This window comes from Homo sapiens, chromosome 14 (assembly GCF_000001405.40).
Source record: "Homo sapiens chromosome 14, GRCh38.p14 Primary Assembly".
Classification (NCBI taxonomy): domain Eukaryota; kingdom Metazoa; phylum Chordata; class Mammalia; order Primates; family Hominidae; genus Homo; species Homo sapiens.
The window spans coordinates 106,279,496-106,305,630 of record NC_000014.9 but is presented as its reverse complement, the minus strand read 5'-3'; the positions used below and the strand labels follow the sequence as shown (position 1 = coordinate 106,305,630).

The following is a 26,135-nucleotide window of genomic DNA, read 5'->3' as shown; positions in this document are numbered from 1 at the left end:
TAGAGTGCTATTGGAAACTGGATAAATGGTGATCTTTGTTATAAAGTGACAAAAAAAACTTGTCTAGACTATGTTGTGATATTTAGTAAAAGAGAACTTTGAGCAGCAAAATTGAATATTTAGCTGAGAACACTTCTAAGTAAAATGTTGAAAGTGTAGTTTGGTTTCTCCTGGGCATTTATAATAAGAAATAGATGAATTGAAAATGAAATTATAAGGGAGAAAATATCCAAAACTTAAAGGCTTGGAAAATTCTCAATCTATCTGTGTTGCAAAAATCAGAAAGTGTGTTCTGAAGAGAACAGTGAGTATGAGGCTGTAATATCACTTGATAAAGAATTTATGGTATTAAAAGAGAATAAATGCAGGTTTTAAAGAACAAGGATGGAGATGAGACAAAATGGACGAATACTGTCAGATTCTTCAGATTTAAGAGGATGGAGCTACTTGGTTGCAAATGTGCACCATTCTTCCAGAACAAAGAAAAATAAACCTTGAATTTATTTAGAAGTAATCATGACCACTACCTTGGTTTCAACAGACCAGACCATCCATGCTTAAAACCTTGAGGAAAAGACCTCCTACCACTGCCTGGAACTTAGGAACTCCCAGTGAGCCTTGTGTGTAGGGCTGCATGGGGTCTTTGGGATGGGACCTTAACCCAGCAGTTACCCATTGGTGCCTCTACTTAAAGCATTGGAATTAATTCTGCTGCTGCAATGAGCTGGGAAAGAAGAAGCTTGGCCCAGAGAAGATTCCACTTGAGCCTTAAGGTCTATGGTAATTTGTTTTGTTATGTGTTGTACTTGCTGGGGACACATCACCCCTCCTTTCTTTTCTATTTTTCTCTTTGGGGGAGAAAATGTCTATTTTATGCCTAACTCACCACTGTATTTTGAAATCAAATAACTTGTCCAGCGCTATGGACTGAATGTGTATGCAACTCCAAAATTAATATTGTGGAACCCTAATCCCCAGTGTGGTGTAATTGGGGTGTGGGCCATTTAAGGGGTGATCAGGTGAAAAGGTTGAAGCCGTCATAAATGAGATTAGTGCTCTAATAAAAAGTCACGGGAGAGCTTTTCTCTCTTGCTTCCCTGTCATGAGATGATACGATAAAATTACGGCCATCTGCAATTCAGGAAGGAAACCTTTACATACACATGATTGGCTGTCTTGGGCTTCCCAGCATTCGGCACTGCACAGAATAAATATGTCTTGTTAAAGTCATGCACTTTATGACACTTTGTTAAAGCAGCCCCAATAAAATAAGATATCTGGTTTTACTGGCTCAGAGTTGGAGAGAAATTTGTTTCAGAAATAATTCTACCTCAAATCTTACTCATGTATGGTTTAGTTAATATTTAAATTATGTTTTAAACTTGTTTAGAGTTGATGATGAAATGAGTTAAGAGTTTGGGGACTGTTATAATCAAATGAATGAACTGCGAATGTGTAAATGCCATGCATTTGGGGGATGGTCTTTTCTATTCTGGGTCTTTCATGCCTACGTGTGAATTGAAGGATTGCTTTTCTTATTTCTGTGAAGAAGGCCATTATTATTTTGATAGATAATTTATCTAATCTGTAAATAACTTTGGGTAGTATGAAAATTTCAATACTATTAATTCTTCCAATCCATAAATGTGGAGTATCTGGGATATATGTCCTATTTATGTGTGTCCATTTCATTTTCTATTACCAATAATTTATAGTTATCCTCTAGAAATCTTTCTCTTATTTGGTAACATTTATTCCTAGGTATATTTTGCAGCTATTGTAAAAGGAAAGGCTTCATGGATTTCATTCTCAGATGTTTTGCTGTCAACATATAGAAATGCCACCAATTATTGTATGTAGATGATGAATCTTACAACTTTACTTAATTTGCTTATGAATTCTAATAGTTTGTGAGAAGGCTTTAGTTTTCTTTTTTTAATATAAGATCTTTTTGTCTGCTCACAGGAAATCTGACTTCCACAATTCCAAATTTGAGGTCATTTCCTTTTACTGTTAACTAAATACTCTGGCTAGCATTTCAGTACTATTCTGAATAAAAGTGATAAAAATGGTTATTTTTGTCTTCTTCCACTTCTTAGATGAAAATTTCCCGGTTTTTCCATGCTTCGTGTGATGAAAGCTGTGTTTTTCTCATATATGCGCTTTATTTTTTGAGATATCCTTCTTGTATACCTAGTTTTTGATAATTTCTATCAGAAATGAATGTTGAATTTTATTCTATGATTTTCTAAAATATCTTGACTACACAATAACACAGTAATATGCAGGTCAATACATATCAACTGAATTTCACTTAATATCATCCCAACTTCTAATATTTATTTTTTAGTATTAGAACATGCCTGTTTCCATATTATATTTGCTCACAGGTATTGGTACATATTTTAGCTAATTTGTCATTATTTTACTCTAAGAAATAACTCAAAAAATCATTTTTATTATGAATTGAAAGGTAACATCGGCAAAATTAGCCCAATCTTAATCTTTCCCAGACTTTGAAACATTATTGAAGACAATGAGAGGGGAAAGTCAGCTTTAGTTGAGCTTCTAAGAGGTAAGTGAGGTAAAAACCCAGGGCTTATTGGCTACGACTTTGAATGTTACTGTCTTCTTTTCCATAAGCCACATCCAGACCATTTTCTAAATCTAAGAAAACTAATTTTATCTCACTGCTTCTTAGTCTTGTTTCCTGCAGCTGACAACCAAAACTGTCAGCGATAGAGCCCAGTGTAAATCACCAGCCTTTAATTATTGCAGAACTATGATTTTACAACAACATTGTGAGTTACATAATGATCCTACTTTATGGCCGCGGTGCAAATGCTTAACTTCCACTAAATCACAGAGCTCAGAATGGCTAGCATGGAGGTGTATATGTATATGTGCATTGTTCTAGAAATTTCCAATTACTGTATATTATTGTTTGCAGTAATTAGGTCAATCTGAACTGACAAAAGTCTCCATGGCCTTATAAGCACAGAGACCACCTCCACGGCAGGTGGAAATCAAGGCTGGGAACAGTCTACCAGCTGCTCCCCTGGGATTCCTCCAATTACCCTGTTTAAAGCCTCTGCTCACTCATGCGCTGGAAGAGGGATGTCAGAGATGCAGTCTACTCTTCCTAAAGGGCTGACAGGGCATAAAGACAAGACTGATTATCCATGGAACATTCCTATAGGAATGCACCTATGTGCAGACACACAAATAAGCTGTGTGTCTTGCAGTGTGTAAATGGCTGAGATGCCATTTACACTTCTTTACACAATACATTTTTAAATGTTTTGTTGATGTATTCTCTATCATTCAAAAAAATCATCACTTTCCCCCTAAACAAAGAGGATTTTTATCAGAACACTTATGGGAAGCCCCTTGCTCTCCCAGATTCCCACCCTCATTTCTCCTGAAGGAAGAAAGAAAACCATCTCTATTGATTTCCACTCTCATCCTCTAGGACTAAAACCAGAAAGCTGCATGCTCCCTGGGTGAGCCTTAGAGAAGACCCTGTCTGTAGGAGCAGGAATCTCAGAGCCTTGGCTGAGAGGCATGGTCCTGAAATGAGATGGAGTCCCCCATGGAGATCCCACGTGGACGCCCACACCTGAGGGCTCACTGCTCCTCACCACAGATGCACTCCCCTACTGAGTCCTGAGACCTGAGTGCACCCCATAGAGTAGGACTCAGATGAGGGAATGCAAATCTCCACCAGCTCCACCCTCCTCTGGGTTCAAAAGCTGAGCACGGGGCCTCGCTCAGTGACTCCTGTGCCCCACCATGGACACACTTTGCTACACACTCCTGCTGCTGACCACCCCTTCCTGTGAGTGCTGTGGTCAGGGACTTCCTCAGAAGTGAAACATCAGTTGTCTCCTTTGTGGGCTTCATCTTCTTATGTCTTCTCCACAGGGGTCTTGTCCCAGGTCACCTTGAAGGAGTCTGGTCCTGTGCTGGTGAAACCCACAGAGACCCTCACGCTGACCTGCACCGTCTCTGGGTTCTCACTCAGCAATGCTAGAATGGGTGTGAGCTGGATCCGTCAGCCCCCAGGGAAGGCCCTGGAGTGGCTTGCACACATTTTTTCGAATGACGAAAAATCCTACAGCACATCTCTGAAGAGCAGGCTCACCATCTCCAAGGACACCTCCAAAAGCCAGGTGGTCCTTACCATGACCAACATGGACCCTGTGGACACAGCCACATATTACTGTGCACGGATACCACAGAGACACAGCCCAGGATGCCTCCTGTACAAGAACCTAGCTGCATCTCAGTGGTGCTCCCTCCCTACCTCTGCAGAACAGGAAAGTGTGACTGAGATGCCATTTCCTGCCAGGGCTTGTGTTTCCTATACCAACCAGACTCAGAGCCCTGTCTGTTTTCCTATTCTGTACTATTAAATGGCATGTTCCCTGTTAGTGATTCACGCAAGCAGAGGCTGTATCCTGTTTGACAAAGATTGAGCATGAAAGATTCCCATTACCTGGGCCACATGCATCACTGATATGTGGCCACTTATTTCTTGAGCTCATATCCTTCCAAGGGGCTGAATACAAATATCTATAACATAGGCCATCTTAAACTGCAGGAAGTAATGTTGGAGAAGAATGTGGAGATAAAAGAGCAGGATGATTAATTAAAATCCAGATACCATCTTTTTTTGCAGAGAAAAATTTACACTAATAAAGTAATTTTATGAAACAACAAGAAAGATGGAATGTGTCCTCATCATGGAGTGTCTCACTTGCAGTGCACAAATAAATTTCTAAAAATTTTATAGGGAAGGTGTGATAGATGAGGCTGATTTCCACACAGGGAGTGATTAAATACCCAGGTAAGTATAAAATCCAACACTTGGAAAGGAAAATGCCTCAGCTTGACATCAGAAACCCAGCTCAGTAAGTCTGAGGAGCAATGCGGAAAAGAAATGAAAAATTCGGGCCGGGCGCGGTGGCTCACGCCTGTAATCCCAGCACTTTGGGAGGCCGAGGCGGGCGGATCACGAGGTCAGGAGATCGAGACCATCCTGGCTAACACGGTGAAACCCCGTCTCTACTAAAAATACAAAAAATTAGCCGGGCGTGGTAGCGGGCGCCTGTAGTCCCAGCTACTCGGGAGGCTGAGGCAGGAGAATGGCGTGAACCCGGGAGGCGGAGCTTGCAGTGAGCCGAGATCGCGCCACTGCACTCCAGCCTGGGCGACAGAGCGAGACTCCGTCTCAAAAAAAAAAAAAAAAAAAAAAAAAAAAAAAAAAAAAAAAAAGAAATGAAAAATTCGACAACACTTTTCTTATGAAATCCCTAGCTCATGTTTGAACACGAAAACAGAATTGTCCACAATTTTAGGACAGCCATCGCATGACAACAAACCACTACAATGATAGGAGCATCACTGAGTCAACGGAGTTCAAGCAGTGAGCAGATCAGTACTGAGGCCCCAGGAGAACCAAGGCTCTTTGGTACATTTTACAGAACCCAGAACCGAGCCACATAATCTATGGCCAAGTGATCTTTGACAAAGTTAACAAAAATTAACCAACGTATACACCAGGGAAAGGACACCCCATTCAATAAAGGGTGCTGGGGATATTGGATAGCTATATGCACGCGAATGAAACTGGACCCCCACCCTCAACATGTAAATAATTAACACAAAATAGATTAAAGGTTTAAATGTAAGTCTTCAAACTGTAAATGTATTCAAATAAAACACCAGGACAACTCTTCTGGACAAAAAGCAAACAATAGACAAATGGGACTTAATGAATCTAACAAGTTTCTTCACAGCAACAGAGTGAACAGACAAAGTGCAGAATGATAGAAAATATTTGCACACTGTGCATCTGACAGAGTACTAATATACAGAATTAACAAGAAACTCAAACCACAACAACAAAAGAAAACAAGAACCAAATAACCCCATTAAAATGAGCAAAGAACATGAGTAGACATTTTTGCAAATAACACATAAAAATGGACAATAGATATATAAAAATGCTCAGCATTACTAATAATCAGGGAAATGCAAATTAAAACTAGTGAGATATACCATTCACAATGGCTGTTATTAAAAAGTCAAAAATAACAGATGTTGGAGAGGATGAAATGTAAAGGGAACTCTTAGACACTGTTGATGAGAATGTGGACGAGTACGACCTCTATAGAGAACAGTATGGATTCAGTATGATATTGACTGTGCATTTGTCATAAACAGCTCTTATTATTTTGAGATACATTCCATCAATACATAGTTTAATGAGAGTTTTTAGTATTAAGGGGTGTTGAATTTTATTGAAGGCCTTTGCTGCATCTATTGAGATAATCATGTGTTTTTTTTCCATTGGTTCTGTTTATGTGATGGATTATGTTTATTGATTTGCATATGTTGAACCAGCCTTGCATCCCAGGTATGAAGCCAACTTGATCATGGTGGATTTGAAAACCGGCACAAGACAAGGATGTCCTGTCTCATCACTCCCATTCAACATAGTATTGGAAGTTCTGGCCAAGGAAATCAGGCAAGAGAAATAAATAAAGGGTATTCAAATAGAAAAAGAGGAAGTCAAACTGTCTCTGTTTGCAGATGACATGATTATATATTTAGAAAACCCCATCATCTCAGCCCCAAATCTCCTTAAGCTGATAAGCAACTTCAGCAAAGTCTAAGGATACAAAATCAATGTGGAAAAATCACAAACATTCCTATATACCAATAATAGAAAAACAGAGAGCCAAATCATGAGTGAACTCTCATTCACAATTGCTACAAAGAGAATAAAATACCTAGGAATACAACTTACAAAGGATGTGAAGGACCTCTTCAAGAGAACTGCAAACCACTGCCCAAGGAAATAAGAGAGGGCACAAACAAATGGAAAAACATTCCATGTTCATGGATAGGAAGAATCAATATCGTGAAAATGGCCATACTGCCCAAAGTAATTTATAGATTCAATGCTATCCACATCAAGCTACCATTGACTTTCTTCACAGAATTAGAAAAAAACTACTTTAAATTTCATATGGAACCAAAAAAGAGCCCATATAGCCTAGACAATCCTAAGGAAAAAGAACAAAGCTGGAGGCATCACGCTACCTGACTTCAAACTATACTACAAGGCTACAGTAACCAAAACAGCATGGTACTGGTACCAAAACAGAGATACAGACCAATGGAACACAACAGAGGTCCCAGAAATAATGCCACACATCTACACCCATCTGACCTTTGAAAAACCTGACAGAAACAAGCAATGTGGAAAATGATCCCCTATTTAATAAATGGTGTTGAGAAAACTAGCTAGCCATATTCAGAAAACTGAAACTGGATCCCTTCCTTACACCTTATACAAAAATTAACTCATGATGGATTAAAGACTTAAACATGAGACCTAAAACCATAAAAACCCAAGAAGAAAACCTAGGCAATACCATTCAGTACATAGGCATGGGCAAGGCCTTAATGACTAAAACACCGAAAGCAATGGCAACAAAAGTCAAAATTGACAAATGGGATCTAAGTAAACTAAAGAGCTTCTGCACAGCAAAAGAAACTATCATCAGAGTGAATGGGCAGCCTACAGAATGGGAGAAATTGTTTGCAATCTATCCATCTGACAAAGGGCCAATATCTAGAATCTGCAAGGAACTTAAACAAGCTTACAATAAAAAAAAAACAACCCCATCAAAAATTGGCGGAAGGTTATGAACATACACTTCTCAAAAGAAGATATTTATTCAGCCAACAAACATAAAATAAAGTTCAACAGCATTGGTCGTTCGAGAAATGCAAATCAAAACCACAAAGAGATACCACCTCACACCAGTTAGAATGGCGATGATTAAAAAGTCAGGAAACAAAAGCTGCTGGAGAGGATGTAAAGAAATAGGAACGTTTTTACACTGTGGTCGGTAGTGTAAATTACTTCAACCATTGTGGAAGACAGTGTGGTGATTCTTCAAGGATATAGAACTAGAAATGCCATTTGTCCCAGCAATCCCATTATTTGGTATATACCCAAAGGATTATAAATCATTCTGCTATAAAGACACATGCACACATATTTTTATTGCAGCACTGTTGACAATAACAAAGACTTGGAACCAACCCAAATGCCCATCAAAGATAGACTGGATAAAGAAAATGTGGCACATATACACCATGGAATACTATGCAGCCATAAAAAGGATGAGTTCATGTGCTTTGCATGGACATGGGTGAAGCTGGAAACCATCATTCTCAGCAAACTATCACAAGAACATAAAACCAAACACCGCATGTTCTCACTCATAAGTGGGAGTTGAACAATGAGAACACAAGGACACAGGGAGGGGAACAAACATCACACAACAGAGCCTGTCGGGGAGTGGGGGGCTGGAGGGGATAGCATTAGGAGAAATACCTATTGTAGATGATGGGTTGGTGGGTGCAGCAAACCACTATGGCCTATGTATACCTATGTGACAAACCTGCACATTCTGCACATGTGTCCCAGAACTTAAAGTATAGTTAAAAAAAAAGAGAGAGAGAGAGAAAGGAAACAGTATGGAGACTTTCCAAAAAATGAGAAACAGTACTGGCCTTTATTCTACCAATCCCACTACTGGGTAGCTACCCAAAGAGAAAGAAATCATATTTCAAAAAGATACCCACACTTCTATGTGTACCACAAATCTATTCCCAATAGCACATATGACAACCTGAGTGTCCACCAACAGATGATTTTATAAAAGAATATAGCATATATGCACAATTTAATACTAGTCAGCCACAATAAGGAATGAAACTGTGTCTTTTGCAGCAAGATGCCTAGAACTGGGGGACATTATAATTAGTGAACTAACTCACAAACAGAAAGCCACATATCACACATTATTACTTATAAGTGGGAGGAAAACAGTGTGTACACAAGGATATGGAGAGAGGGATTATGGACATTGGAGACTTAGCAGAATGGGAGGGTAGGAGTTGGGAGCATGATGAAAAATCACCTAATGGGTACAATGTACGTTACTTGGGTGTTGGGTACACTAAAGCCAATACCACTGTGTAATATTTCCATGTAACACAGTTGCACCCATAGCCCTTAAATTTATACAAATAAAGATAAAAACAATTACAATTTAAAATATAAAATTATTAATAGTTGACCAAAGATCTTGAAAATTAAAATTTAAATCATGATCAATAAATGAAATTAATATCAGTTGAACTTCATTTAACTTAAAATCCTTTTGTACTCAAGTGATTTTAAGAAAATGAATGTCAAGTTTTAGATGAGGAGATTTGCAAATCATATCACCACCTATGTAATTATAGTAAGAACCCTCAAAACTCAACAGTGAATAAAAGAAGAGGCAACCCATGGATAAAATAGGCAAAGGTTTGTGCAGGCATTTCATTAAAGAAGATGTACAGATTACACATAGGCATATAAACAGGATCTCAACAGGATTTTTCATCACAGAAATTCAAATCAAGACCACAATAAGATACCCAAACACCCTTTTTAGAATGGCTGAAATTAAGAAGAAAGATGGATCATACCGATGCTGGTGAGCATACCAGGTTTCTAGAGTCTAAAACATTGCTAATGGGAATGCAAAATGAAACAGCTACACAGGAAAATAATTCTTAGTTTCTTGTAAAATTATATATGCCCTTAACACATTACCTAAAAATCCCCCTCCTGTAATACAGTAATACATGGCTGTGTATTACTGTGAAAGAGGCATAGTGTGAAAACCCACATCTTGAAACCCTGAGGGAGAAGGCAGCTATGCTGTGGCTGAGGAGATTACAGGGATTATTTGATTAAAGACTTTTTTAGAAAGTGAGGTTAAATCAGCCGGGCGTGGTGGTTCACACCTGCAATCCCATCACTTTGGGAGGCCGAGGTGGGTGGATCACGAAGTCAGGAATTTGAGACCAGTCTGGCCAACATGGTTAAACTCCATCTCTACTAAAAGTGCAAAAAATTAGCCGGGTGTGGCGGTGTACACCTGTAATCCCAGCTACTCTGGGCGCTGAGACAGGAGAATCTCATGAATCGGGGAGGCTGAGGTTGCAGTGAGCCGAAATCGACCCACTGCACCCCAGCTTGGGTGACAGTGCAAGACTCCGTCTCAAAAAAACAACAACAACAACAAAAAGAAAGCGAGGTTAAGTCATTGAAAAATAGGAAAATATAAATGTGTATGCACTCTAATTATTTGGGAAATTTTCCATACAACTTGTATTCTGTAAACAAAATTCAGGGAGTGGAAAACAAATCAAATTAATAAAACTGATATAAGAATTCCTCTGAAGATATTAGTGTGAGCACTAACACACACTTTTGAATGGGTGTTGTAAATATTTTGGAACACACCTCTTAGGTCACATTTTAATTCTACATTTATGTAAATTATATAAAATATCGAAATTTTTTAATGTCTCCATTTTGTGCAGTTATAATTTTGGTTTCATGCCAGCAATGCATGATAGATTCCGTTCTTCCACATCCTCGTTGCCATTTGGCACTATAAGCATTGTGTATTTTAACCATTCTAATCTATTGGTGGTGATAGCTCATTGTTGTTTAAATGCACATGTCTCTAAAATTTTATATTTAATTATTTTATATAATTGTGATGAAGTGTTTGTTATGGTATTTGGCTCATTTTTGATAGCATTGTTTATTTTTGATCAGTTGTAAGTTTCTTTACATACCCATTATATAAGTCACTTAAAAAAGTACTTAGCTGGTCATGAACCCCAGGATGAGATGCAGACTGTATAGAAATCTCTAGCAATGTTACTCAGTGTGGGCAGGGATGGCATGAGATACGGGGAATAAAGAATAAAGTAACTTTCTCCATTTGGATATAAGATGTGTCCATTCACTAGAGAGTTTTCTTTCAGAAGGTTCCCATGTGAGCCAGTTTCCTTCCTGACAAGGAAATCACCCAGAGGATTCTCATAATCTCTTAAGTGAGAAAAGTTTTCCTCAAACTCCAGCTCAGTCTAGCTCACACTGTCTCTAAATGGGCAATTACTTTCAGACATGTACACACATCTGTCCCAACGTGGACTCCTCCCTCAGACAAGCACACACATTGCAATGTGGACTCTCCCCTCAGAAAACCACACATGCCCCACAATGACTCCTTCTTCACATAAGCATATATGCCTGATGCTGAACTGCTGTGTAGCAAAATTAGCTCAGAATACAAGCACTTATGGACTCTAGCCATAACAATGTGTAGATCTGCATTTTATTTTAAATTCTAAATGAACATTTTGCCTTCTTGTTAAGAACAGTGGTTTACAGCTCTACATGTAGAGACTACAGGCAGATATATGTTTCCTCTGGGAAAAGTTTATTTTCATGTATTTACTGGGTTATTTTGTTGATAAACATTCATCTATAAAGACACCTGAAAAGTGCCCTCATTAGAGAAAAAGAAAGTGTAGTTTGCAGATTAACTCTGAGCATCCAATCCCAGGAATCCTTTGATCTGCCCTCCCTGAAATCCACAGGCAGAGGGGGGATGATCGCTGATAAGTAGCAAACACATGTCCACAGGAAGGGAGACATGGAAATGTGGTCACTCCCACACTCAAGAGGAGCAGCTCATCCCCTGTCCGTAGTGGTCCTGGTGAGGAACCACCCCACACCTGTGCCTTCCTCAGTATCCACACCATGGGGTCTGTGCTGATCTGGGCTTCCCTTCTCATCACTCTCAATATTAGTGTCCTTGCGGATCAGGCTCAGCTGTGGCTGCTCCAGATGAGGCTGTTCTCAGTCTGTTCCCTCTGTGTTTGCAGAAGTCCTGTGTGAAGTTCACCGGGGGAGACAGAGGAAATAACGGTGCAGCCGGGGGCTATCTGAGTCTCTCCTGCAAAGACTCTGGATTCACCTTCACTGATTGCAGCATAAGCTTGGTCCAGCAAGCTCCAGGACCAGGGTTGATGTGGGCAGCAACAGGGAGAAATTGAAGAGGAAGCTCTCAGTGGTGCCCTCCATGAATACAAAGAATCTTCACAGTCCCCAGGACACCCTTACGTGCATGGTCTCACTGATATCTTTACTTCCTTTATCACTTTTGTTATGTAAATCACAATGAATAGTGTATTCCTCATCTATTATACATTTGTTAAGTCTTTTTTGGTGTCTTTAAAAAAACTGATAACTTTATAGTATGTAATATCCTTAAGTCCTGAAAGTGTTTTTTGATGTCTACCTTGTCTTAAATTTATACAGCTACTATAGCTTTTCTTGGTTCATGTTTTCTCATATTTATCTTTTCTATTTGTGAATATGTAGAGAAACTTTCTTGTACATAGCTAATAGTTGTGTATTGCTTTTTTATTTTGGCAGTCCTTAAATATTCTAATTTTTTATGATACTTTAAGTTTTAGGGTACATGTGCACAACATGCAGGTTTAAACAAACAACCTCATCAAAAAGTGGGCAAAGGATATGAACAGACACTTCTCAAAAGAAGACATTTATGCAGCCAAAAAACACATGAAGAAATGCTCATCATCATTGGCCATCAGAGAAATGCAAATCAAAACCACAATGAGATATCATCTCACAACAGTTAGAATGACGATCATTAAAAAGTCAGGAAACAACAGGTGCTGGAGAGGATGTGGAGAAATAAGAACACTTTTACACTGTTGGTGGGACTGTAAACTAGTTCAACCATTGCGGAAGTCAGTGTGGCGATTCCTCAGGTATCTAGAACTAGAAATACCATTTGACCCAGCCATCCCATTACTGGGTATATACCCAAAGGATTATAAATCATGCTGCTATAAAGACACATGCACACGTATGTTTATAGCAGCACTATTCACAATAGCAAAGACTTGGAACCAACCTAAATGTCCAGCAACGATAGACTGGATTAAGAAAATTTGGCACATATACACCATGGAATACTATGCAGCTATAAAAAATGATGAGTTCCTGTCCTTTGTAGGGACATGGATGAAACTATCTATTGCTTTTTTAAATCAACTATAATAAATTCTATTTTTTTTTTTGAGAAGGAGTCTCGCTCTGTCGCCCAGGCTGGAGTGCAGTGGTGCGATCAGGGCTCACTGCAAGCTCTGCCTCCTGGGTTTATGCCATTCTGCTGCCTCAGCCTCCCGAGTAGCTGGGACTGCAGGCACCCACCACCACGCCTGGCTAGTTTTTTGTATTTTTAGTAGAGATGGGGTTTCACCGTGTTAGCGAGGATGCTCTCAATCTCCTGACCTTGTGATCCACCTGTCTCAGCCTCCCAAAGTGCTGGGATTACAGGCATGAGCAATAAATTCTATTTTTAAACCAACAATATTTTTTTCTGTTAATTTTTGTTTAAATTAACATTTTATAATGATGCTTATTTCTCTATTAACATGGTATTTAATTACCTTTTTATAAATATTGTATAGTTACCATAAGATTTACAATAAAAATTGTATGTAATTAGATTCTAATGTAAATCCTGTGATGGCCTTGATATGAAGAACACAGATAGTGTAACTGTGTGCTTTGAATTCCTCCTTCTCGCCACTCTTTCTTGTTTATTCTGTTTGCACTTACATATGCTGTAAAATAGAATATGTAATTTTTTATTACTTTATACAGTTATATCTTATAGCAATTACAAATGTTAAAGAGTACAATTCATCTAGATTTTTCCATTTTTACAATCTTTATTTCTTTGTAGAGATTTCTATTTTGAGTGCATATCACATGGCTACTCGCAGAGAATCTTTGTAAAATGTGCCCTGAAACATGAATGTGCTGACAACACATATTCTCCAGATCTTTTTTTCTGACAGAATTTTATTTGCCATTCACCTTTAATGAAATTTTAATGCATGTAGAATTTCAGTTTGCATTTCACCTGTAATTTATTTTCTTGTAATTATTATTAGTTTTTCCTGGAGATGATCACACATTACATTCTGCTGGGCCTTTATTAACCATGTTTCTGCGAACCTAGTCAGGCTTGGGTTTCAAGTGTATGGTTGCCGTGGCTATCAGAGTTGAAATCAGCTTCTCCTGTTCACAAAAACTTCAGGTTCCTCTGGTGATACCTGCGTTTGTGTCCCTGTTTGGCTTTGGATCTTCACATTTCATTCTCCCCAAAGAAAGGCTGTCTCTTTCAGCTGTGGCAGGTGCATCCTGCTGACACATTTACTTGGTGACTGTTTGTGGGATGAAGGGGCTTGGACACAGGGGCACGTTTTCCAACCTTCTGGCTGAGCCTCCTTCTTAGCTATGGGTGGTGAGACTGGCTCTGATGCATGATCTTCCAAGTGTTCCTGTTCCTTCCCTTCCTCAGTGTCACAGTGTCTCTTCCCAGTCATGCTGTTTTTTCATCAGTGTCCTCAGCTTCTGACCCACTGTCCTTACCCCACAGATTCTGGATTTCATTCCTCAGGAAACAGACGGGAGGTGATTCTGGGTAGAGTTTCCCTGATGTCCTCTGTTTCCTTGTGTTCTAGTTGATTCTACCAGTGCCCACAGGACACAAGATTTAATAAATGTCTCCTGCATATAATGAAGGGGGATTCAGCATTGAACGGAGCTACTGTTCTTCCTCCCCAGTCAACACCACAGGACAGCAGGTGGGTGAGTTGTCTGGGGATTTCCCCAATTCTGTAGGAAAAGCCTGCAAGTGCCAGGAGTTTCACACTCTCACACCATTAGCACACACATCTTCAAGCAACTCATTAAACATTTCCAGGTTAGCTTTTTCCTATCTTCAATACCATGCCATGAGTGGCACCTGCCCCAGGTACTCTAATAAACGCACCCTAGTTCTCTCTGCGGGCCCCTATTTTCTCATATTTCAGGGATTTTTTTCTCTGTGACATCAACTCAGATATGGTGAGGGGTTTATTTTTTGTAATTCTTCATGTTTTTTGTTAACGAGGTCAGAATAATATCATTTTCTCAATTTTTACATTCTAACGCTTAGTATCTGATTTCTAAATAAAATTCAGAAACTAAGACAACAAATGAAGTATCCATTATTTGGTGCATTGTTAAACAATTTGAGAAATATTCATGTACTGAAATAGAATGAACCACTGAAATCAAGGCATGCCTCATTCACATAAGAACATGAGGGCATTATCAAATAATTTTGCTGAGTGGAGGAAGCTAAAGAATTCACCATCAATTTCATGTGATTTCATTTGTATAAATCACAGAAGATGCAATATTCTAAATTAACATAGAGAAGATCTGAATTTCTCTGAAAATAGGGTGGGCAGAGTAACAACGTGGTGAAATAAAATTATAGACAAGTTAGATAAAAAAAATTAGAGGTTAACTTAATTGCTAAAACATGATTGAAGTGCTGATTCAATGACTGCACACATATATCAACATTTTCCAAATGCTGCACTATCAATTTGATTTCATTATTGATTGTTTTTTTAATAAAGCAGTAACAAAAATGAATATATTGGCTGAGAAAGAGCAAGAAATGGATAAATACCGACACTTGAATAATCAAGGACTCCTGAAAATACACACATGTGAACACTGATTGTAGATTTCAGGTAAACACTAGAAAAGGCAAAATTACACAAAGTTGTTATGACAGGAGGGACATCCTGAAAACCTCTCTAGGCATGTCCCACACCACCCTGGAGCTGTCTCAGGGGAGCAGTCTCCTCCAGTGTTTAGAGGCACAGGCACGCATAATAGGGCTAACTCTGGCCAGATGTGTGATATTGGACACATTGCACAACTGCTCTGTTCTGTATGTAATTTATCTTCTCTACAAATGTAACATTGACAGTTGCATTAAATATATTCTGCAAATATGTAAAAGTTAAATAAGCTGATGTCTGCTAAATGATTACCAAGGCACAATCACATAATCTGAAGTTATATTTTCCAGAGTGATAGGATTACCTCCAGAGTTTTCCAGGACACTCTCATCTGCTCCGGGCACTGCCTTCTCCTCAGCCGTCCCACCCCTGAGCTTGCTATATAGTAGGAGACATGGAAATAGGGCCCACTCTCTGCTGATAAAAACCAGCCCAGCCCCGACCCTGCAGCTCTGGGAGAGGAGCCCAGCCCCCGAATTCCCAGGTGTTTTCATCTGGTGATCAGCACCGAACACAGAGGACTCACCATGGAGTTTGTGCTGAGCTGGGTTTTCCTTGTTGCTATTTTAAAACGTGATCTATAGAGAACTAGAGATATTGAGTATGAATGGATATGAGTGAGAAACAGTGGATACGTGTGGCAGTTTCTGACCGGGGTGTCTCTGTGTTTGCAGGTATCCAGTGTGAGATGCAGCTGGTGGAGTCTGGGGGAGGCTTGGCAAAGCCTGCGTGGTCCCCGAGACTCTCCTGTGCAGCCTCTCAATTCACCTTCAGTAGCTACTACATGAACTGTGTCCGCCAGGCTCCAGGGAATGGGCTGGAGTTGGTTGGACAAGTTAATCCTAATGGGGGTAGCACATACCTCATAGACTCCGGTAAGGACCGATTCAATACCTCCAGAGATAACGCCAAGAACACACTTCATCTGCAAATGAACAGCCTGAAAACCGAGGACACGGCCCTGTATTAGTGTACCAGAGACACAGTGAGGGGAGGTCAGTGTGAGCCCAGACACAAACCTCCCTGCAGGGCCATGCGGGTGGTTTCCTTTCTCAGCTGCAGGAGGCGGGCTTATTGTTGCAGGACTCTGGAGACTTATTAGGTTGTGATATTTTACTATGGTTATTTATCATGAACTTTTTTATTGGGAATTGTGTTTTATTAATTTTTATTTTATATGTAAGGTTATTTTTTTAAAATACATACCTTCAAGAAATAATTCTTCCTAATAATTTGCACTTGTTCTTTTTAGAGTTTTGTTAACATCTGTTGATATCAGCTACTACATAGCTATAGGGACATTAATTTACATCTATAGACATATGTGTAAATACACAAACTTATACATATATGTGGTCTTTTATATTTAATGTTATAATAAAATTATTATAACAATTATAAAATACATCCTAAAGAATGAAACATATATAGTAATCCATATTCCTTTCAATCATTGCCTATAGTTTACATAAATTGATGTCTATTTGTAACCTTAAACATAGTGTATTGGTCATTTTCAAACATCCAAGAACAAATTTCAAATGTCCTTGTCACACACACAAAAATAAAAATTTGAGGATTTGAGGTGATATATATGTCAATCAGCTCGATTCAATTATTCCATATTGCATTCATAAATCATAACATAGCTTTATTCACTATAAATACATACAACCAAAATTTCTCAATTTTCAATGAAATTTTAATTATACATATTTTATCTGTCCTAGGTCATGAATGTTTTTCTCCCTGTCCGGATGTGATTAAGATTGTCCTGAGAAACAAATTCAGCCTCCTGCCTCCTGAAGGCTTCAGGAAGCAGCTCCTAGATGGGGTGAAGCAGGCAACCCGTGTGTGTCCACAGGACCCGGAGCCTCTCTCTCCTTGGATTAGGCCCCCTCCTCAGGATTACAGGGCTCTTCAGTTTTCTCAACATGCTGTTATACCAGAGAAGCACAAAACACTTAATTTCATTATATTTTTCTTCAATTTTTCAAAACAACACAAAGGTAATAATTTTAACAATAAACATATTACAACCTACTATACATGAGACCCTTCCTGTGCTTCGAGGTTTCTTCTCAGGACTTTGTATGTATTACATGTTTTCAGTTTTTTCCTGAGATGGAATGTTGACGTCTCCTTATTACAGATTATTCTTTTAATTTGTCTCTTAGAATAATTTTTTCCAGAGCTCCTGCCCGCCCGCGCCTGGCGGAATGGAGCGGCGCCAGGGCTGAGCCAGGCGCGCAGGGGCCGCCGCACGTGCCGCGCGGGGAGCGGATGCCCAGCGGGCGGAGAGCCAGCGCCAGAGGCCGGGTCGGAGCGGCCGCTGGAGCAGCGTCAGAATGGGAGAACAGCCCATCTTCACCCCCCGAGCGCGGGTCTTCCAGATTGACCCCAACACCAAGAAGAACTGGATGCCTGCGAGCAACAGGCGGTCACCATTTCCTGTTTCTATGATGTCACAAGGAACAGCTATGGGATCATCAGTGTGGACAGCGCCAAGGTGACCATAAACAACACAATTACACAGAATATGACCTTCACCAACACGTCACAGACGTCTGGGCAGTGGGCCGACAGCAGAGCCAACACGGTGTTTGGTTTGGGGTTTTCCTCTGAGCAGCAGCTGACAAAGTTTGCAGAGAAATTCCAGGAGGTGGAAGAAGCGGCCAAGACAGCCAAAGACAAGACCCAGGAGAACATGGAGCCCTCGAGTAATCATCCTGAGAATCAGGGCGTGGAGCCCCATCTTCTACTCCGGCATCCAGTGTCAACGGGACGGACGATGAAAGGCCTCTCAGGCCGCTGCAGCCGACACGCACCTGCAGTCTGGGAACCACAAGCTGAAGGCGGCCTCGACGCAGAGCTGCCCACGGGAAGAGGTGGGAGATGGAGCTGCAGACCCGGCGGGAGACCGACTTCCGGCTGCCCACGGCGCTGCAGGAGTCGACGGCCAGTGCGGAGCAGAGGAAGAGGCCGTGAGTCAGAGTGCGACTGTGTCTCTGAGAAGATGGAGGCGGCAGAGAGAGGATCAAAACCTGGAAGATAAAGTGCGTTCCCTAAAGATAGGCCCTGAGGAGAGCAAATCCCGACAGCGCCACCTGGAGGCGCTTCCTGGTGGCGCTGGACCGGAAGATCCAGGCCTGCATAACTTCCGCCCAGGCCTCCCAGGCTGGGCACCAACAACTAGGGCTGGCAGAGGCCCGGGATCCCCACCGTGAGTCCTAAGTATGTGTGCGAGACCAGATGGCGCTAGGACGTTCCCTGTGTGCGTTGCTTCTGTAAATGCAGGCGCCGTGTGTCGTGTTTCCAAACCAGTTGTGCCATCCACTCACTCCTTTCCAGAATAGAAATCTCTCGCTTCTCTGGCCTTGTGAGGTTGTGGACAACTGGAAGATTCTGACTGAGGAAACCAGAACCAGGTCTACCTTCAACATTTACGCAGTCAGGCCAGGGATGTTTATATCGTTCATAAGGGTTGTTGGAACCATATGAACTGAAAAAAAGCATTTTCTCATCCAAATATTGATATTCTTTACACCAGGCCATCGGGCTCCTTTTATCCGATAGCATTCAGAGTATTTGAAGGTCCTCCAGGTGCCAGCCTTGGGGGCACAGGGAGAACAACATTCCTCTCCGAAAACATGGGGAAGCTTTAAAATAACTGTTTAGTGGAGACTTACCCAGAGATGGAAAACAGGTTTCTGGTGAGTACATTTTCTGGTTTGGGAATCACCTGCATCCCCGATCCTGCCCCGTGCCCCCCAGTTTGTATGGTTGTGACAATGTTCCATTTCTTTGTTTTAATTTCTGAGCAGTTGACTGTGGTGCGGGAACAGCACACAGTGAGGGTGCCTAGCACAATGCCTGGCGCAAAGTAGGTGCTTTATAAATATTTGTTCAATTAAAAAAAGAGGGAGGCTGAGGCAGGAGAATCACTTGAAGCTGGGAGGTGGAGGTTGTGGTGAGCCGAGATGGCGCCACTTCACTCCAGCCTGGCAACAGAGCAAGACTCCATTTCAAAAAAATAAAATAAAATAAATAAAATAAATAAATAAAATAAAAAATATTTTTTCCAAGCCCCACTCAAAACCATGGTATTGTTAGAGGTGTAATAGTTGGACCAACATTGAAAATACATTCCATTTAGTTCATGGGCGTGCAAATATCCTTTTTTCTTTAAAAATTGTTCTCAGTTGTAATATTACAAAAAATATTGGTAATTTATACCAATGACACAGGTTAAAATGTTGTATAAATAATTTAATGACGTTTGATTGGAAAAAATACATGTGCCACATGTCGACAATTTTTTCCTTCTCTATGAAATATATACTCATTAATAAGTTTCAGATGTTACAGTTATCTTTTTGATTTCTGGGATTTAATTTTAGTAGGTATACTTGAATGCATTTTATTAATTCCTATAATGATGTTGATATTTCATGTAGGATTTTAATACTAATTTTACTATTTACTGAATTTTAAACTATTCTACATGTTTTATTTATATAAGAAAAAAATTACATATGAGAAAAAATGCGTAGACCTGAAATGTATCACTAGAGAGTTTCTGTCAAATGTGAATACCTTTGTTCCCAACACCTAAGGTAGCCTGAAGAGCAAGTCCTTCCCCACAACATGCGTCTTTTTCTGTGCTTGCGGTCAGCTCCTGCATGGGGAAATGTTTTGATTTCTGACACTATAGATCCATTTTTTTTCTGTTTTGAACTTTATATAAATGCAATCAAACATTTTAGACCTTAATTTGGTAATGGGCTACATTGCTATTTTTTGAGGTTATTTCCTGCTATTTAAGGTATTAAATTAGATCAACATATTATCATTTATTCAAGTAATGGACTGACTCTGATATGAAACCTCAAAGTTTTCACATATATATGGAGAGAGAGAGAGAGAGAGAGAGATGAGGGAGAGAGGTTTTATATCTGAGTCAGTCTGTTAAATAAGTAAATGACAGTATTTTGATTTATTTTCCTGTAAATCGACTTTAAATTTGTTTCCAGTTTATGAATATTATAAACAAAGCTGTTACAAATGTCTTAGTGTAAGTTTTCCTATGTTGTCTTCTTTTTATTGAGAAAATATGAAGTATGTATTTATTATAAGCTTAAATTTTTTCAGTTTTATTGAGGTATAATTGAAATATTTTAATAATGTATAGGTTTAAGGTGCCCCACTTGACGTTTTGATGTTGTATTAGTCCATTCTCACGGTGCTATAAAAAATGCCTGAGACTGAGGGATTTGAGAAAAAAAGTGTGTTTAATTGGCTCACGGTTCTGCAGGCTGTACAGGAAGTGTAGTGGCTTCTCCTTCTGGGGAGAGTCAGGAAAGTTAGGATCATGGCAGAAGACAAAGGGGAGCAGGTGCGTCACATGGCCAGACCAGGAGCCACAGGAAGCAGGGAAGGTCTACACACTGTTAGGCAACTAGATCTTATGAGAACTCACACACTGTCATGAGAACAGCACCAGGAGTTTGTTCTAAACCATTCATGAAAGACCCACCCCATGTCCCAGTCATCTCCCACCAGGTCCCACCTTCACAATTGAGGATTATAATACAACATGAGATTTGGGGCAGGACACAGATCCAAACCACATCAGATACACATTGTGAAATGCTCATCATGGCCAAAGTAATTTGTATATCCATTTTCTCATGGAGCTACCATTTTATTTTTTTAAAATGTACTACATGTGTGTGTATGTGTGTGTGTCTCATGAGAACACCTACGATCTACCCGTTTAGCAAAAATCACATTTACAATACAGCATTAAATACAAGAACATTGCAGTACATTAGATCTGCAGAACTCATTCACCCTGCACAACTGGACCTCTACCCTTCGACCGACATCATCTGATTTCCCTCTCCTCACAGGCCTGGGACCCACTATTCTACTCTCTGCTTTCAAGAGCTTGAATATTTTAGATCCCACATGTAAATGAGATCATTAAGTCTTTCTGCATCTGGCTTATTCCACTAAGCATCATGTCCTCTAGCCCCATCCCTGTTGTTGCAAATGTCAGAATTTCCTTCTTTTCAAAGCCTAATAAAATTCAGTTTTCTGTGTACACATTTTCTTTACACATTCATCAATCTGTGGTCATTAAATTATTTTACAAATCTACACTATTATAAATAATCTTGCAGTGAACATGTGTTTGACATAATAATTTTATTTCTTTTGAATATATGACAAGAAGTGGGATCACCAGAGCATATGATAGCTTTATTTTTCAATATAATGAATAACCAAACCTACCACACCATGCTTTTGAAGTCTTAGTCATATTTTATTTGCCTAGGCCAATGTCCCGAAAAATTTCTCCTACATTTTCTTCAGTTTGTACATTTAAATATTGAATCCATATTCAATTAATTTTTGTCTATGGTGAAAAACTAGAAGTCTAGTTTTATTCTTCTATGTGTGGCTGTCTAAGTTTTTCAGCACCACTTACTGAATAGAGGGTTGTTTCTCCATTGCATATTTTTGTCAGTTTTGTCAAAGAACAGGTGGTTGTAGAAACTTGTCTTTATTTCTTGGCTGTCTATTCTTTTACATTATTATTATTGTTATTGTTTTTAGTAGCAGTACCATGCTGTCTTTCTTACTGTATCTGTGTAGTATAATTTGAAATCAGGGAATGTGGTGCTTTCAGCTTTGGTCTTTTTCCTTGGGATTTCTTTTGCTATTCAGGCTGTTTTTTGATTCCATATATATTTAAGGATTTTTTTTAAAACATGTAATCAATTATATTGGTTACTTGATAAAAATTGCATTGAATATGTATCTTGCTTTGGACAGTGTATTAGTCTACTGTGCATTGCTATAAATTAATGCCTGAGGCCAAGTGATTTACAAAGAAAAGAGGCTTATTTGGCTTACAGTTTTGGAGGCTGTGTGAGAAGCATGGCACCAGCATCTGCTTCTTGTGAGGGCCTCAGGAAGCTTACGGTCATGGTGGAAGGCAAAGGGGAAGCAGGCAGTGTCCTGTGGTGAGAGGGGGCACAGAAGAGGGGAGGAGGGTCGCTAGACTGTTTTTAACAATCAGATTTCAAATTAGCTAATAAAGAAATAATTCACTAATTACCATGGGGTTGATACCAAGCCATACCTGAAGGATCTTTTCCCCACAATCCAAAAACTCCTACTAGGACCCACCTCAAATATTTTGGATCACATTTCACCGTGAGATTTGGAAGGGACAATCACCTAAACTGTAGCATTTCACTCTTGTGTCCCCTGGTCTCAAATCCTTGTAAGATTGCAAAATCATCTTTTTTAAAAATAGTTCCCAAAAGTGTTAACTTGATCAACCTCCAACTGAAAATTACAAAGTCTCGCCAGGGTCTTAAGGCAATTTCCCTCCAGCTGCGTGCTGGCAAAATGTTTTAAAGAGTTATGTACTTCCAAGGTGCAATATTGCCATTGGGTAAATATTGTCAATACAAAAGGAATAAATTGGCCAAAGGCCCCACACACACCTAAAGCCTAGCAGGACAGATATTAAATCTTAAAGCTACAAAATAATCTATCTTGACTTTATGTTCTTAGTCAGGGTACACCAGGACAAAGTGGGTCCCAAAATCCTCAGGCATCTCATCCTTATGGCTGGGCACATTCCATGGGGCTAATAACACAGGCCAGAGTCAAGTGCCAGAAGTAGTTCCAGGTTGGGAGTACAAGCTGCCTTTGGATCTACCATTCTGGGATCTTGAGGGTTGTGGCTGCATTTCTGTAGCTCCACTGTGAAGTGCCCTAGTGGGGACTCTGAATGGGGTTCCAACCCCATCTTTCCCCATCTTTGGTACTGCCTTCGTAGAGGTTGTTTGTGGTGGATCCAGTCCTGTAGCAAGCTTCCTCCTGGGCACATAGGGTTCTCTACACATCTTCTGAAATCTAGGTAGAAACTGCCCAGCCTCCTTCACTCTTGCATTCTGCATATCTGCCAGAATCCAGTTATCCCAGCACCATTTACTGAACACAGAGTATTTTTTCCACATTGTTTGTTTTTGTCAGCCTTATGAAGTATCAGACGGTTTAGGTGTGCAGCTTTATTTCTGTTTCCTATTTTGTTCCGTTTCTTCTGCATATCTGCTCTTGTACCAGTACCAAGCTGTTTTTGTTACCATGTCATTATGGTGTAGCTTAAAGTTGGGTATCATGATGCCTCTGGCGTTCTTCTTTTTGCTTAGCATTGCTTTGGCTATTCAGGGTCTTTTTTGGTTCCATACAAATTTTAGAATAGATTATTTTTTCTAATTCTGTGATCAATGATGTTGATAGTTTTATGTAAATAGTACTGAATCTCTAAATTGCTTTAGACAGTGTGATAATTTTTACAATATTCCTTCTTCTAATCCATAAGCATGAAATGTTTTCCCATTTATTTGTGTCATGTATGATTTATTTATTTATTTATGCTGTGTTTTGTAGTTCTCCTTGTAGAGATCTTTCACCTTGTTTGTTACCTGTATTTCCAGGCATTTCATTTGTGTGTGTGTGAATATTGTAAGTGGGATAGGACTGTGTTCTTGATTTCACTCTCAGCTTGGACATAGTTGGGTATAGAAATGTTAGTGATTCTTGTACATTAAGTTTGTATCCTGAGACTCTACCAAAGTTGTTTATCTATTTTAGAATTATTTTGGCAGAGTCTTTAGAATTTTCTATGTATAGAATTATATCATCAGTTTGGACAGATATATCTACTTCTTTTCCCATTTAGATGTTGTATTAGTCTATTTGCACACTATAAAGAAACACCTGAGACTGCATAATTTATAAAGATTTTTGATTGTCTCATGGTTCTGCAGGCTGTACAGGAAGCATGGCTGGGGAGGCCTCAGGAACCCAACAGTCATGACAGAAAGGGAAGCATCATGTCTTACATGGCTGGAGCAGGAAGAGAGAGGAGGTAGGTGCCAAGTACTTGGAAACCACATCTCCTGAGGGCTCTGTCATGGGAACAGCACAAAAGAGGGTGAAGCATCCCCATGATCTAATCATCTCTCACCAGTCCCCACCTCCAACACTGGGAATAACAATTTGACATGAAATTTGGGTGGGGATGCAAATACAAACCATATCAGCTCCGTTTTATTTTTTCTATTGCCTGGTTGCTCTGACTAGGATTTCCAGTAGTATGCTCAATAGGAGTGGTGAGAGAGGGCATCCTTGTCTTATTTCAGTTCTCAAGGGGTTTGAGCTTTTGCTCACTCAGTATAATGTTGAGTGTGGTTTTGTCATAGATGGCTGTTATTATTTTGAGTTTTTTTTTTTTTTTTTTTGAGACGGAGTCTCGCTCTGTCGCCTAGGCTGGAGTCCAATGGCATGATCTCGGCTCACTGCGACCTCTGCCTTTCGGGGTCAAGCGATTCTCCTGCCTCAGCCTCCCATGTAGCTAGGATTATGGTTACGGGCATGCGCCATCACGCCCAGCTAATTTTTTGTATTTTTAGTAGAGACAGGGTTTCACTGCGTTAGCCAGGATGGTCTCCATCTCCTGACCTCGTGATCCGCCCGCCTCAGCCTCCCAAAGTGCTGGGATTAGAGGCGTGAGCCCCCGCACCAGGCTATTTTGAGGTATTTTTTGATGCCTAGTCTTTTGAGAGTTTTTATGAGTGAATGTTGGATCTCATCAAAAGCTTTCTCAGCATGTATTGAGAAAATCATATGTTTTTTGCTTTTATTTTGCTTACATGGAGAATCACAGTTACTGAATTGTGGATGTTGAATGAAACTTGCCTTCCAGGGGTAAAGCCTACTTGATCATGACGTATCACATTTTAAAGTGCTTCTGGATTCTATTTGTTAGTATTTTGTTGAGAAATTTTAGGTCTATGTTCACCAAGAATATTCATCTGATGTTTTCTTTTTTAATTATGTATCTTCCTGATTTTGTATCCCAAGGACACACAATGAAGGAAGGACAGTCTCCCAACAAATGATGTAAAAACTGGACATCCATATGCAAAATAAATAAAATTAGACCTTCTCTAACACCATATACAAAAATCAACAAAAATAAACATAACATGAAACCATAAACTCATAGACAACATGGAAAAATAATTCATGTCATTGATTCAGAAATGATTTATTTGAAGTTAATCCCAAAAGCAAGCCCAGCAAAAAACTACATGCAATTATATATCTGACAAGAAGTTCTATCAAAATGTATAAATAATCCATACAACTCAATAGCAAATATCAAATGACCTCATAAAAAGAGCAAAAACCTGAATAGATTTTTTTCAGAAGACACATGCATGAAAAACAGAGCATAAAAATGTCCTCAAGATGACTAATTGTCAGAGGAATTCGAATCAAAAGCACAATGACATATCACCTCACACCACTTAAAATGGCTATTATCAGCAAGACAAAAGATAAGAAATGTTGGCAAGAATGATCCACAGCCATAAAGAGAGCTTTGATTGGCCAAGAGACTGATTTCAGTAACTTTCTCCTGT

At 39.6% G+C, this 26,135-nt stretch overlaps 1 long non-coding RNA gene, 3 pseudogenes, 1 gene segment (V, D, J or C) and 1 further gene; 5 read left to right on the top strand and 1 right to left on the bottom strand.

Annotated features, from left to right (window-relative positions):
- The window catches only part of IGH (immunoglobulin heavy locus), a 1,293,408-nt gene that overhangs the window by 574,214 nt on the left and 693,059 nt on the right, over nt 1–26,135 (top strand).
- IGHV2-26 (immunoglobulin heavy variable 2-26) lies at nt 3,793–4,236 on the top strand. The segment is given in 2 exon segments: nt 3,793–3,838; nt 3,925–4,236. Coding segments are annotated over 2 exon segments (358 nt in total), but the record flags the coding sequence as incomplete, so codon positions are not given.
- Nucleotides 11,824–12,065, top strand: IGHVIII-25-1 (immunoglobulin heavy variable (III)-25-1 (pseudogene); annotated as a pseudogene). The gene is given in 1 exon segment: nt 11,824–12,065. A coding segment is annotated over 1 exon segment (242 nt).
- Nucleotides 16,152–16,605, top strand: IGHV3-25 (immunoglobulin heavy variable 3-25 (pseudogene); annotated as a pseudogene). Its single transcript is given in 2 exon segments — nt 16,152–16,197; nt 16,299–16,605. Coding segments are annotated over 2 exon segments (353 nt in total).
- Nucleotides 17,259–17,957, bottom strand: LINC00226 (long intergenic non-protein coding RNA 226). Its single transcript, NR_033375.2, has 2 exons — nt 17,665–17,957; nt 17,259–17,561 (listed from the first exon to the last, which is right to left on the bottom strand). It is a non-coding gene; the product is annotated as a long intergenic non-protein coding RNA 226 (long non-coding RNA).
- HOMER2P2 (HOMER2 pseudogene 2) lies at nt 17,739–19,636 on the top strand (annotated as a pseudogene).